This window comes from Homo sapiens, chromosome 2 (assembly GCF_000001405.40).
Source record: "Homo sapiens chromosome 2, GRCh38.p14 Primary Assembly".
NCBI lineage: Eukaryota > Metazoa > Chordata > Mammalia > Primates > Hominidae > Homo > Homo sapiens.
The window spans coordinates 201872023-201886106 of record NC_000002.12 but is presented as its reverse complement, the minus strand read 5'-3'; the positions used below and the strand labels follow the sequence as shown (position 1 = coordinate 201886106).

Sequence of the window (14084 nt, the reverse complement as noted above, 5' to 3'; positions counted from 1 at the left end):
TGGGAGGAGCACAGAACTGGGCATCAAGATCTTGGTTCTAATCTTGATTTTGCAGCTAAGTTCCTATGTGATCTTTAGCAAGAACAATGAATAGTAGGAAAGGAGTAGCTTTTAGGAGTCAGATTTGAAGTAAAATCTTGGCTCTACAACTTTCTAGCTGTGTGACTTCAAGCAATTAGCCTACCTGACTTCCAGCTGTCTAATCTGTAATATGAGGATAACAATTCCAGCCTCACCAATTAGTACATAGATTGATAATTTATATAAAGCATATAGATGTCCAATAAAAGGCAGGTACGATTATTCTTCCCTGGGCATCAGTGACTCAGCTATATAATGAAGGTATGGAATAAGTAATCTTTAAGATCCTTTATAAATAACTCTTTTCTGAATTATTTATCTTTACTTGGAGACTCAGCCATGAACGTAACAAATTTAACCAACTTAAGGGCTTGGTAGGGCTGAGGGACTTGGTTTTCCCAGACTTCTCCCAGCAACACAATGCTATGCAACCCCATAAACCACGTCTCAACCCAGTATCTCCTCTAACATATTGAAATGGATGGAGAACAACTTTGTGCATAGAAGGTGAGGAAGTGTGTTATGGAGGACATCTCCAAATTCGCTTCTTAAGGGCTGATTAATGGAGGATTTAAAAGGTGGACAGATTGGTCTGAGTTACGTTACAAACTCCTAGAAGTAGCACAGAGTCAAGAGGATGGCTGAGAATCTTCCCTCCCTCTTTTCCAACATCCCCAGCCCCTGAAACCTGGCCTCATAGAATGACAAAATATTCTGGTTCAACTTTGAATAGAATACACAAAAAAACCAATAAACAGAATAGGTTTGAAATTACGTGGAAGCATTCAGAGTGAAACTAAGCTTGATTAGTACATGTTAAAGAATGTTTAAATTGTTGCAAAAAGGCATACGATGGTAAGAAAAACTACAATGGTATATGAGTTAAGACTGAGCCACTATGATTAAAAAGAAGACAACTTCAGAATGATCTTAGATGGTATTGAGAGGAACACGACATTCCTTTGCCCGTATGCCCTTCCTCTCCAATCATCCAGACCCATCATCTTTCAAGGCCCACTCACAAAATCATCCTGGATCCCCACAGCTGGAGTTAATCTCACCTCCTTCAAACACTTAGAGCACTTTATTTGTATACTTGATCTGCAGCTGTTTATATACTTGTCTTATTTCCTAAAGGACCGTAAGCTCTTTGAGGACAGGGTCTATGACTAATTCATTTTTGTATCCTTTAATATCACACCTCATGGACACTCAGTAAACCTCCAATGAATGAATGGAACATGATTCTCCCACCATGCAAGAAATTTGAGTCTATGCTGCCTCCATATTCTCAGAGATAAGCAAAATAATTGGAACAGATTCAGAAGAGAACAATAAAACAAAATGACTAAAAAGTGGGAGAAACAGAATTTGTATTTGGAAACAAAGGTTAAAGGAATTCAGCCTAAAGTGGCCTTTGGGAAGTGATATCATAGGGACCTTCCAATATATTAAGGAGATAACACTCAAAGAAGGCCTGAAGTTATTTTATTGAACCAAAACAAAACACGACTCAGATTTTAACAGGGCAATGAGGCATGCTGAAGAACTTTCGGAGTATAGATATCGGGATGGTGTGATCAAAGGTAGAGGTAAATGCCATGCTTTCTTCCATCCCTATGTGTATATAAGTATACTCTAACAATGGGGGCTGTGGTACAGCATTTTTGCAAAATTACTTGTGAAACAATTGCAAGCTTTTTAGATTTTCTCCCCCTAAGATGCTAAAACCTGTTTTAAAGGAGAAGGGGATTTAGTCCAGGAAGGAATGGGAGACTCAAGTATGAGACTTGGCTAGCAAGCAAAATGGGACCAACCCAGAGAGAGAGAGAGAAAGAGAGACAGCCTTTGATGTCCTGACGATCAAGGACCATGGCTTAAAGACCAGACTCTTAAATCACGTGTCATTTACTGCCTCAGATAAAAAATACTTTTCTGGATCAGTGTCTGTAGTTCAAAATGGCTAGGTTCCAAAATCAGTCTTAAATTTCCAAGGGTAACATTTGGAAGGTTTCCTGAAAGAACAGAGCGGAGCCAGTTTTAAGAAGGGGCAGCTTAATGATTTCCTACTACCCCCACCCCCAAATCATTAAACAGTGTTCCTTTCCCAGAGCCCAAGTTCATGCTGAGGGCAAAGAGAATTAAATGAAGAAGCTGAACCTGCAGCTAAGATTAGAGAGTTGCCAAGGGCCTAATTTTAGGTCCTAGCTGCTCCAGCTGACGTCCTGCCCTGCTGGCTCAGCCACGAGGACCACAAGTGTGGCCATAAGCCGGTGTCTGAGTGGGAAGAGCGACTCCCTGGCCATCTGCAAAAGCAATTAGCTTGCTGTTGGCTGTGTTTTGAGAGGGACTACCAATAATTTCTCCTTCAACAAGTGTTTCTTCAGGTGTTCACGAGTCAATAAGGGAAAATGTCAGAACTTGGCAGAAGTTCCCACATGCTTGCCATTCTAATATTCACACTTTTCCACTTCAGGTGCTGTCCAAAAGGAAACTAATCCTGGAATTCCTGGTTTTCATGGCAAATAACCCCCTGATAAATGCCCTTTGGCTCTAAGCGTACTGCCACAACCTAGGGAAAGCATTGTTCGGGACTTCTCAGCGTCATGAAAATAGAGATGGACTGGAACAATTCTTTCATTTTGTGTGGAATTTCTATGCCGCTCCTACACTGGGATTTAGGCTGTCCTTCCACTCTCCACGTATTTCCCAGTCCCAGGCTTTATGCTTTAATTGTCTTCTTTAGAGGGCAGACAATAAGAGCTGGCATCTTCCAGATCAAAGGGGAAACAGAATATATTTTAAAGTGACAACTCTGTTATCCTGCAACCAGAATAAAATCAGAATAATAAAATGATATAAATATAAGCCCCTAAATAATTTTATACTGAAATGCCACCAGAGAGCAAAATTTCTTGCATAATTATGGCAGAGAAACTCTCCTTACAAATCACTCACAAGAGCATGCCGATTTTTGCACAATTCTCATGCCTGGGGCAGCCCTCCTCAGGGATGGAGTTTCTATGTCCCTGCAGATTGGGAACTGTGATTACCCACTGGTGTGCTCTGTCTGCAAAGGAGGCTGTTAATAAAGGCTCATTGCCAGGGGCAATGAAAAAGCAGGCTGGCACTGCCAGGCCAAGGACCGCATCTCTTAGTAGATAATGTGCTGGTGGTGAGAGCCACTGTCACGAAGGTGCACAAACCAGCCCTGGCTGCTTCTGTCTCTTCCTCTATTTTTCTTTCCTGGTAGCTTTGCTTTTTCTATCTACTTGTCCATCTGTCTATATACATATTTCTGCACACCCACCACCCTGTCACACACATACACAAGCACACACACATGCTCGTGCACTCATGTGCACGAGCACACACACACAGAAGCACACACACCCAATCTTGCCCCCGCCTTTCCCTGTCTCTTGGCACCGGCGCTTTCATCTTCTCCCTCGGGGATTCGAGATGTCGCTGCAGGAAATGCTTGTCCGCCGAGGCAGCAGCAGCAGAGCCCTGTGGCTTTGACAAACCTCATTTAATTGGGAGGAAGCCAGGAGAATTTGAAAGAACTGAAACATCCACGAAACTCCTTTTATCAGGCATAATTTAAACTCTGCATGGAAAAACCCCTATATGTATAAAGAAAAGTCAACTTCCCTCCTGCTGTGAGCACTCCTGGTTTCCCCCGCTAGTGCAGGCAGCCTCCTACAAGATTCCATCTTTTCATTTTTCTAAAAGTGTCAAAGTAGATTTGGGCTCTGTGACTGGGCGAACAGGGAAGGAATACAGATTGTTCTCTCTGTCTCTCTCTCACACACACACACACACATACGCACACACACATATACACACATACACACACAACCTTAGATACCCATGCACCACGGCCCCTCTGTTGGTGGCTTTGCTTTTGGGTCAGCCAGGAAAAATCAAAACCCAAGTTTCTAACAACACATCAGTTTGGACAGTGATTGTTTCTTCCTAATCATCTTGCGTCAAGCAAAAGCTGGAGCCTAGAAAACTCTGAAGATCCCCAGCAATTGTCAGCATGTGGAATAACAGATCCTAAAGGAGGGCCAATGGGGAAAGTTTCTTTAAGTGGAGAGAAGGGAGTGTGTGTGTGTGTGCGTGTGTATGTACATCCAAGCGTGTACACTTGCATGAAGTAATAGAGTTATAAGTCCCAAGTCTGACAGGAGAAAGCTGAAAAGGAACAATCTAGGGGCTTGGACTGGGAAGAGGGGATTGGGATGGGAGTGGCCGGGGAGGAATGGGGCTGAAGTGGGGGCAGAGGTACCAGGAAAGGAGTGAGAACTGTGGATCTGCCTGCAATGTCTTTTGTTCCACCCATATGCCTCTCTCCTCCTTCCAAATTCCACTTTAGATTCACCTCCAGTCTAATCCATCTCATTTGAATTCTTGTTCCTCCAAATAATTGCCTTCAACACACACATAGTCTCTGCACATCTGCAGTTGATTATGCACAGATTTTTTGCTGTTTAGATATGATGTGTGCTGATATGTGTGCGAGGGTGCCCCGTTTCCTCTTCCTCACCCTCTTTTCCTCCCACTTCATAAGAACCTGGAGGCCAAGGACAAGTCTCTTGTTTTCCTCAACTTTTTATAGCACTCAATATGTTCTTGACACTTAATGGCAATTTAATAAATACTAATGACTGACTCTTTCTACAGGGTTAAGTAAGACATTAACCCCAGTTGTATGATTATGGTTATTTTTGGAGATCCTAAATGACTCACTTTAGTCATAAAACAGAATGCCTCAGCAAGTCCCAAACTAAGCGCTTTGGACTGCTGCAGGACGATGTCCTAGACACAGAGGAGCTGCGTCTGCAAACTCTGGCAAGGCGGACCAGGCTGTTTCCACACCTCTTGGGCAGTAGCTCCTCACCCTGTCCCCATCCTTATCTCACTGCACCCCATCGCCACTCCCCCACGCCCCTTCCAGTGTCCTCATCGCAGTTCCAGCCCTTAGGCCCTCCCTCCTAAGCTTTCTTTTCTCTGGCTTAGGACTTCTAAAACCAACCCTGGCTGCTTCTCTCTCTTCTGTTTTTCCTTCCTGGTAGCTTTGCTTTTCTTGTCTACTTGTCCCTTGCTCCTAAAACTATTTTTAGTTGAATGGTGGATTTTTTTTCAAAGAAACCTCACCTAAGGATAGTCCCCCATGACCACTGCCCACATCCTCCTGTAGCCCTTCCTGGCCACAGTCCAAGAAACATGACGGGAGTTCCAACCACATGATCCCTCAGCAGATTTCAGGTTTGGAAGATGACTTCAGGCCCAGGCAGCAAAGGCTGATTCCAAGGTAACTTGTGTTTACAGGAGGTGGGCAGCCTCGGAGGAGACCTCCCTTCCCCCAGCACCCCACCCCGGCACTGCCTTCTGCAGCTTGCTATTACCAATCAAGAAAGGCCCAGCTCCCTCTCAGGACATATCCGCTTCACCTATCATCTTACTCTCCGCAGAAAGGGAGAAGAGTCTTGTTAGAAACACTGGTGTGGCTTCCTGGCAGATGGTAGCTAAGGCAAACAACTCAGAGACAACGTCCATCTCATCCAATTTCTGAGTGTAAATGTGTACCTGTGAAATGTCTGGACCATTACAAAGAGGTCCTTGTAACCTCTCCCCACCAGTGCTTCAGAGTTTGAGAGAAGCTCATGCAAAACTCAGACAAGATTAGGTCCTATCTTGCTTCTCCCAGGCAAACTGATCTCTAACTTCACTCCTGGGGGTAAATGCTATGATTCTCCGGTGCTGAGGCAAACTACTTAAGACACCAAGACTTACACACACACGCACTCACGCACATGCACTCACGCACACGCACACACTCCCTCGCTCACCATCAGGAAGCTGGTACAGCTGAGATGGCAGGGCGCTGAAATAATCATGAACAAGTGCTTCCTGGGCGGAGACGCGGTCTCTGGGAAAGCCTTTTAGCATCTGGGAGGCCAGGTCTTCAGCTTCAGGAACCCTGCCCAGCCTGGAAAAGTGGGAGAGAAAAATAGAGTTTCTCCAGCAGCCTCCCTTCTGAAAAACAAAGGGATAAAAACAAAAAGTAAAGAAAAGGAGATGGCTAGACTTAGATTTTAAGTAGAATTTTCCTGGAATTGCTAAAGTTGATGGCAACTGGAAAAGTAACCCCCATACTAAACTCTTACTGACTGTCCTGTTACTAAGTTGAAGGGGAAAAATCTCCTCATTCTATCACTCAGCTCCCTTGCCCTCCACCGTGTGTCTGGGCACCATGTACACATAAAAGACACAGAAATATAATTATAAACAGAAATATATAATCAAGGATTCTTTTTGGAGGAACACTGCAGCCCCAACCAAGTAGAAAGGCCTGATTCAAAATACGATCGAACTCTGAGAGGCTGAGGTAGGCAGATCACTTGAGGCCAGGAGTTTGGGACCAGACTGGCCAACATGGCGAAACCCTGTCTCTACTAAAAACATAAAAATTAGCTGGGCGTGGTGGCATGCACCTGTAATCCCAGCTACTCAGGAGGCTGAGGCATGACAATCACTTGCACCTGGGAGGTAGAGGCTGCAGTGAGCTAATATTGCACCACAGCACTCCAGCCTGGGCAACAGAACAAGACTCTGTCTCAAACAAACAAACAAAAAACATGTTCAAGGCTCTGGACTCCAAGGGTGGCAAGCACAGAAATCTGGAGGGGGAAAAGCACAGAATTCTAAAGAGGTGATTCTGGAGGGTGAAGCTTGGGTAGAAAATACACTTGTTTGCAGCATTTCTGAAGCTCACCCAGTCTTATTAGTTAGGAAGCTCTCTTGGTTCCCTTGAGATGGAGCAGAGGAAGAGAGAGAATTAAGTACTTAAATCACAGTAAGGACAAATCCTCAAGTTGATCTTATGTTGAAATATATATCTGGAGATGAGCAAATACATTTATTGAGCAACTACTATGTGCTAGTAAGTGGTTGGCTTTGGGAGACACAGGACAAGACTGTCTTCTGGCAGCTCAGGTAGAGGAGTCAGATGTTCATCAAATTATCACACAGATGTCTAAGTACAACTGTGAAGAAAAGAATCCTATGGTCTGACTGTTTGTATCTCTCCAAAATTCAAATTTATGTTGAAACCTAATCACCAAAGTGATAGTATTAGAAAATGGGAACTTTGGGAGGTAATTAGGTTATAAAGGAGGCTTGAGAGAGCCCTTTTGCTCTTTCTGCCCTGTGCAGACACAGTGAGAAGGTGCCATCTGTGAAGCAGAGACCCCTTGCCCAACACCTAAGCTGCTGGCACCTTGGTCTTGGTTTTCCCAGGCTCCAGAGCTGTGAGAAATACATTTCTATTAATTGGCAATCACTCAGTTAAGGTATTTTGTTATAGCAGCCCAGGTATAACATTTTGGTTCCCCTGAGATGGAGCAGAGGCAGAGAGATAATTAAGTACCTAAATCACAGTAAGGACAAATCCTCAAGTTGACCTTATTTTAAGGGTTAAGATAGCCTCAATACCTGACCTATAATGGGAAGAGGTGGTCAGGAAAGGATTTCTTGAGGAAGTGGCATTTGAGCTGAGAGTTGAAGAATGGAGGGCAGGAAAGAGGCAGGCCTTGACTGACAGGGATCTGTGGTACCTACACAGACCCTAGAGTGGGAGGGAGAAGCCAGAGTTTTAAGAAGGGAATCAAGGCCAGTTGGCTGGCCCAGGACAAAAATGGGGAGAGAGGCCTGACATGAAGCTGGGGAGGGTGGCTTGTGGGTCTTCATGTTTCCCATTTACTTACAATGCTTGAAAGGCTTTGCTCATCTAATGCCAATCATTTATGTACACCCAACTCCACAACCCACACATAGGTTTATAACTGGAAAGGCACAAGAGGGAAAACTGTGCATATCCCAGCGGGCAGCTGATCATGGGACTGATGTCTGACATTCAGAATTAAGTTGTATGGCCATGAGACACCACAGTAAATCCCCAATTAAGCAGACATAGATGGGCTTACTTAATGTCAAATACACCTACTGACTTAAAGCAAGAAAGATCAGATATTATTTCCCTTCCAGGTGCCATGATGCAGAGATGCTGGAAGTCTTGGCCCAGAATTCTAATTTACCTAATTTTTGCATAAGATTTGCATTAAAAAATTTGAGCTATTTGATTCCCAAGACATGAAACTGTTTCTGCAAACAGATAACTACTTTCAAACTCAGGAATAATTGCTTCATAGGCAAGATAGAGAAGAAATTTGCAAATTTCCAAATCCTTGCAAATTTCCAGGCCAGTTAGGAGAAAAAGGAATTGTGTAGAAGTCTACTCATTTGCTGTGGCCTGAAGAAGGACTGGCAGATATATTCCTCATCCAGGGTATCCTGTCCAGGCAGAGGTTTTTTAGGGCCCATGAAATGGACGTTTGGAAGAGGAATGTTAGTACAAATCACTAGAGCCTAGGATCTCTCTGGAAGGAGACTCAGGGGAAATCTCATGAACAAATTTTAGCTGGTCCACCCACACTATTGGGTAGTGAGGTGAAGTTTGTGCCAAAATTTGGCCCTGAATCCACTTTCTGCAGGCTTCATGCTTTCTGGTTAAATATGAACTTCTGGACATGGGGAGGGCGGGTAGGTGGTGGGGAGCAATGCATCTATCAACTTCCACCTCCACAGTCCCACCCCAATCAGCGATTTGTTCTCTCGAATACTCCCCCAGCATTAACCCACAACAGATGGCTCCTGAACTGCCCTGTAGTGAGGGCTGAGGGGCTGCAGTCTGATTGGACAGGGAAGGCTGGGAGACCTGTTTTAAACTTGTGTTAGCATGGCAGGCATATTGTTTTTATTTAGACTGTGTTTGTGTAGAGTGTCTGGGGAAGCCAAGAAAGGCTAATGGAGTTTACAGGGGTATTAGGGGCACCCCTTTTCTTATAAGAACAGGTTATTTGGCCAGAGCTGTGCCTCATGTCTGTTATCCCAACACTTTCAGAGGCTGAGGTGGGAGGATCACTTGAGCCCAGGAGTTCAAGACCAGCCTGGGCAACATGGTGAAAACCATCTCTACCAGAAAATACAAAAATTAGCCAGGTGTGGTAGCATGCACCTGTAGTCCCAGCTACTCAGGGGGCTGAGGCGGGAGAATCACCTGAGCCCAGGAGGTCGAGGCTGCAGTGAGCCACGATCGTACCACTGCACTCTAGCCTGGGTGACAGAACTAGACCCTGTCTCAAAAAAATAAAATAAGAACAGGTTTTTGTTTTTGTTTTTTTTAAACCAGGTGAATGAATAAAAGAAGGGTAGGTACTAATTAGTGCAAGGACCTCTTTTTTAGGATTTTCCATTTCAACCAACAGAACCTACCCTCACCCTCCCCACAGGGTTGTTTCAGGGCTTCTGGTGGTTTCTGGACTTGTTCCAGTCTCACAGCCTCTGAACTATGACTGCTGCACTTTGCTTCTCCTTCTCCTTCGCCGGTAGAGGTGGTCACCAGGGCAAAGCGGGCAAGTGAAGTCTCTTCCTCCTAGGAGCCAAGTGTGTGTCGGTCTCCCCTGTACAAGCCAACTCCACCCCACATGAACACAAACCTTCACTGGCAGCACTGGTAGCAAGACCATTAGGATCTGGGCCTTTGGCAAGTGCCCCAGTAATCGCCGCCTTGCTATCGCACATTGAGCTCTTTTTGCAAGGCTGAGGAAAGAGTCCCGGGAAAACAAATGTTACTTTTTGGGCACAAATGTTGATTTACTGACATCTTCCGTGTTTGTATCATTATGCTTTTTCCTGTCACCTATGGCCTTGCTTGTTACCAATTGCCTTTACTGTCATAGTTGTACATGTGGCCACCACCTCTAACTCCCGCTGGAACAATTATCCACTGGTTACAACCCCTACTTTAAAAATAAACATTGGCATAAAAAAATGAACATCACAAATGTTAATTTGCCTACCAGCACCTTTCCAAGGTAAATGTGAATTCATACTCTTAGGTTTGTGATGTTAACTACCAAACATGACAGGAGTATCTTGCAGAGGTAGGAAAACCCCCCGCCCAATTAATGAGAATCTGCTATTAAAGGTAAAGAATCCTGTGATAAATCAGTCCTTCTAGTAACATTTCAAGAGGTGAGAAGTGTTCCAATGCCAAAATAATTCATACTTATTTGTAGAGCACTTAGAAAATGCAGAGAAGGAAAATTATGACTAGCCCATCACTCTGAGATAATCCTCTGATACTCAAAGATAATCACCATTGCTTGAGGTCTTTGTTTTCTTCAGTCCTTTGCTTTTAGACAGGTATAGTTTTTGTTTTACAAAAAAATGGGATCATACTATACATGCTCTTATAACCTACTTTTTCCATTGAACTACCTTGATCATCTTCCCATAACTTTGAATCACTTTCTAGGACATTATTTTACTGGCTGTTATCGTTCGATTATGTAGGCATATCATAATTTACAGAGCTAGACTCCTATCTGAGTTGTTTCCTTTATTGTTGGGATGGAGGTAGTACTATTAAAATCACGCTGTAACAAATATTCTCAAAGAGAAATCTTTGTGGGTTTGTGTATATTTCCTTAGGATAAATTCTTAGAATTGATGTTCGGTTGAAGGATATATACAACATGTTAAAGTATTTGATTCATACTATCAGCTAGAAGAGCTGTAGATTCATACTATCAGCTAGAAGAGCTGTACCAATTTCCATTTCTGCCAGCAGCCTAAGAGCGTGCTCATCCCTGTGGGCAAGGATAATAAATTCATTCCAACCCACCTGAATTGCCACAGGCCCCATTGCTTATAAAAGTCATAAAAATAATTAAAATTGTGTATCAATCCTAAAAGATGTGCTGGGGGCCGGGACAGCTACATGTAATCTTAAAAGTCCAGAATAGAAACACAAACAATAAGAAAAAATGAAAATTGAGTTTTGTGACTGCGTAAAACACCATCTACTAACCCATCACTCCATACTACTAAAATCTGGTTGTTCTCAGGGGTCTGGGACAGCAGTTTTGATTTCCTAGCACAGCCTGGCTCTGAGTATAAAAGTCTCCCACCCACAGCACTGCCACTGACCTCTGAGGTGCAGGACAGGCTGGTCAGTATGAGCTCAACTGGGTTCTTTGGTTTTCCCCCTAGACCTACAGGAAGAGGAACAGGGCAGGGATAGAGTAGGCACTTTTTAAATGTTCTCAGTTTGGGATGTAGTAGATGCCCACAGTCAGAAATACATCCAATACTAGGAAGAAACATTGCAGAAGCTGTCCTACAATTTGCCAATCAATCTAAAAAGTGAGTGCGTACCTACTAGGCCCACATTAAGGAGATCACCATCAAACCTCAAGCAAGCCCCGGGGATTCATCTACAGGCCTGTGAATGGTTCCACTGCACCTCTGAAGGGATTGTGTAGAAAAGCCAGTGACACTTCGGCTGCTTGTTACTCGCCACATCTGCAACCTGATTCAACAGCCAAATCCACAGAGACCTGGGTACCGGATGAATCCTGGCTCTACCACTTACTTAGTTGGACTACCTTGGCCAAGTTACTTAACTTCTCTCAGCCTCAGTTTCCTCCTGTTTGACCTGGGAATGATATTTGTAAGGATTAAATATAATAATATATGTAGCACCCTGCTAGGTACATAGTATATATCCCATCCAATGTTAACCCTTTCACAGAGCCCTTCCAAGAGCCAAGAATTTTCCCATGTGATAATCCAGGCTAACGCTGCCAATGGAATTTTCCATGATGATGGAGATATTCTATTTTTGCTCTGTCCAATATCATAGTCACTACTCCAATGTGGCTACTGAATCCTTGGAATGCAGCTAGTGCAACAGAATGGAATTTTAAACTTAATTTAAGTAAATTAAGAAGTTAAATAGCCACATGTGGCTAATGGCTACTGTATTAGACAACATACCTCTAAACACCCCTAAACATTACCTCCCCCCAACTTTTTTTTTTTTTTTTTTTTTTTTTTTTGAGACGGAGTCTCACTCTGTCTCCCAGGCTGGAATGCAGTGGCACGATCTCAGCTCACTGCAACCTCCGCCTCCCGGGTTCAAGCGATTCTCATGCCTCAGCCTCCTGAGAAGCTCGGACTACAGGCACATGCCACCACGCTCGGCTAATTGTTTGTATTTTTAGTAGAGACGGGGTTTTGCCATGTTGGCCAGGCTGGTCTTGAACTCCTGACCTCAGGTGATCTGCCCACCTCGTCCTCCCAAAATGCTGGGATTACAGGCGTAAGCCACCGGGCCCAGCCTAGACATTACTTCCTGTGTTAAAGATCTGAGCAGAGAAGCCAGAAGTCTGAGAAAAGGTGAATACATATTGCTAGGGGACAAGGGAAGGCGCAGAGGCCATGGGTGCTATATCGTCAGAAAAGCCAGAGAGGTATTCAGAGAATTCAAGCCTTGCTCAGCCCTCGAAAGAAAGGCTGGTGGGGTGATAGCAGGAGGCTGGTGAACTATCTTCTGCCATGGGACAGGGGCAGCTGCAGCAGCAGCAGCATGGAGTATTAAGATGGTTCTCAGGTTGAGAGTTGCCATTTACTTTGGAAGCTGATAGTGACATGAAAGAAAGCCACGGGCCATGCTAAAATCCACATATCTCTAGGTAGAGGGGAAGGAGCCTGACTATACTGCACGTCTTGAATGAAGTGATAAACAGTAGTTCCCTAGAACCTGTCTCCAAAAGGTTTCAGGTTATACAGTGCTGTTGAAAATAAGAGTGGAGGGTGCAGATGTCCTGGAGATACCTGTCCCTCCCAGTGAAAGATCTCTGGTAGTCCATAGTTCTATGTTCCTAACCTATTTTACTCTTTGTACCCTGATATTTTATTCTACGTGGAGGCTTTTTAAAGGAAATGAACAGTAAGAGTGAAGAATTCAAACAACTTTTGGTTAAGTTAAATTCTACCATATTTTCAGGGAAAAACAATGTTCGAGTGTTCAGTCAGGATCTTGGCCAGTGAAACTCTTCCACTTCTCCCCACCTGCAAGACTGTGTTTTTCTCTGACATTTGAGCTCGTTTCCCCTGTCTCTGATGTTTTCCTCATTGCCCTTTTTGCCTCCTCACTGAAGCAAAAAGAACAGAGCCTCGGCTAATTACTCTCAGATCAAATAATACTGGTTATTGTAATTGGTCATTGTCCGAAAACACTGAGTTCTTCTTAGCCCGGAGGTTGCCTGGCACAGCTTAGTTAGCTAACTATTCCCGGAATGTCTCTATTATCTGTTTTACTTTGCAAAAGAAACTAGGGATTTGTTGAAAGCTGGTAATAAAAGTCTGCCCTGGTCTGAGCCGAGACTGCGTAGAGAGGGCCTGGGAAAGCATGACCCCCATGAATCAAGTTGCCCCCCCTCCAATAGCCACTCAATGATGTTATTTGGTTTCTCTGTGTCAGAGAATAATAAACCCACTAGGTTTTCTTGCAGACCAACACTCCCTCGTTCTCAGGGCCTGGGGCATGGCTGAGGGACACAAAACAATTTTAACGACCAAACTCACTGAAAGTAAAATGGTTCATAGAAAAAAATTAACAGACTCTCAGGGGTCTGGCGCTTCCAGAGGCATCTTCCTACAGCTTAGAGCCCCCACATGGAAGTGCTCGGGGGCTGCTGTTCAGTGGACTGAGATCCAGGGAAATGTCTCTCCAATCCTGCTTAAAGATCCCTTAAAGATCCCTTCCTGAGGTAGTACTCACCTGTTCCAGACAACATGAAGGCTTCGAGGCGTAGGCAGTGGGAACCATTCTGGGAAGCATACAGAGGGCGTTAAAAAATAAAATCCACCCGAAAACCCTGTTGCCAAATATACTGTTAAAATTCTAAATGCTCTTCTTGGCTTGGTTTAAAAAAATGATTCAAGTATCAGGTAGGCTAATGTGATTTTTAAAGCCTCATCTCCTGCTGAATTTTTATGATTTGGTGAAAGGTCACTATTATGGGTTGAATTATGTGCTCCCAAAATTCACATGTTGAAGTCCTAACCCCAATTACTTTAGAATA

The 14084-nt window shown here is 44.0% G+C and overlaps 1 protein-coding gene across 11 annotated transcripts in view; it reads right to left on the bottom strand.

The window, feature by feature from the left end:
* CDK15 (cyclin dependent kinase 15) overlaps nucleotides 1-14084 on the bottom strand; it is an 89122-nt gene that overhangs the window by 9444 nt on the left and 65594 nt on the right. For 8 of the 11 annotated variants that reach the window (NM_139158.2, NM_001366386.2, NM_001261435.1 and 5 more), the window contains 2 exons: nucleotides 13781-13829; nucleotides 5940-6079 (listed from right to left, as the gene is read on the bottom strand). The exons of 1 other annotated variant lie outside the window; for it this stretch is intronic. In NM_139158.2, coding sequence (NP_631897.1) covers nucleotides 5940-6079; nucleotides 13781-13829 — 189 coding nt within the window. Of the gene's footprint in view, nucleotides 1-3415; nucleotides 3843-5939; nucleotides 6080-13780; nucleotides 13830-14084 lie in introns of those variants that run through there. 2 more of the 11 variants (XM_011511650.3, XM_047445552.1) reach the window with 2 other exon arrangements.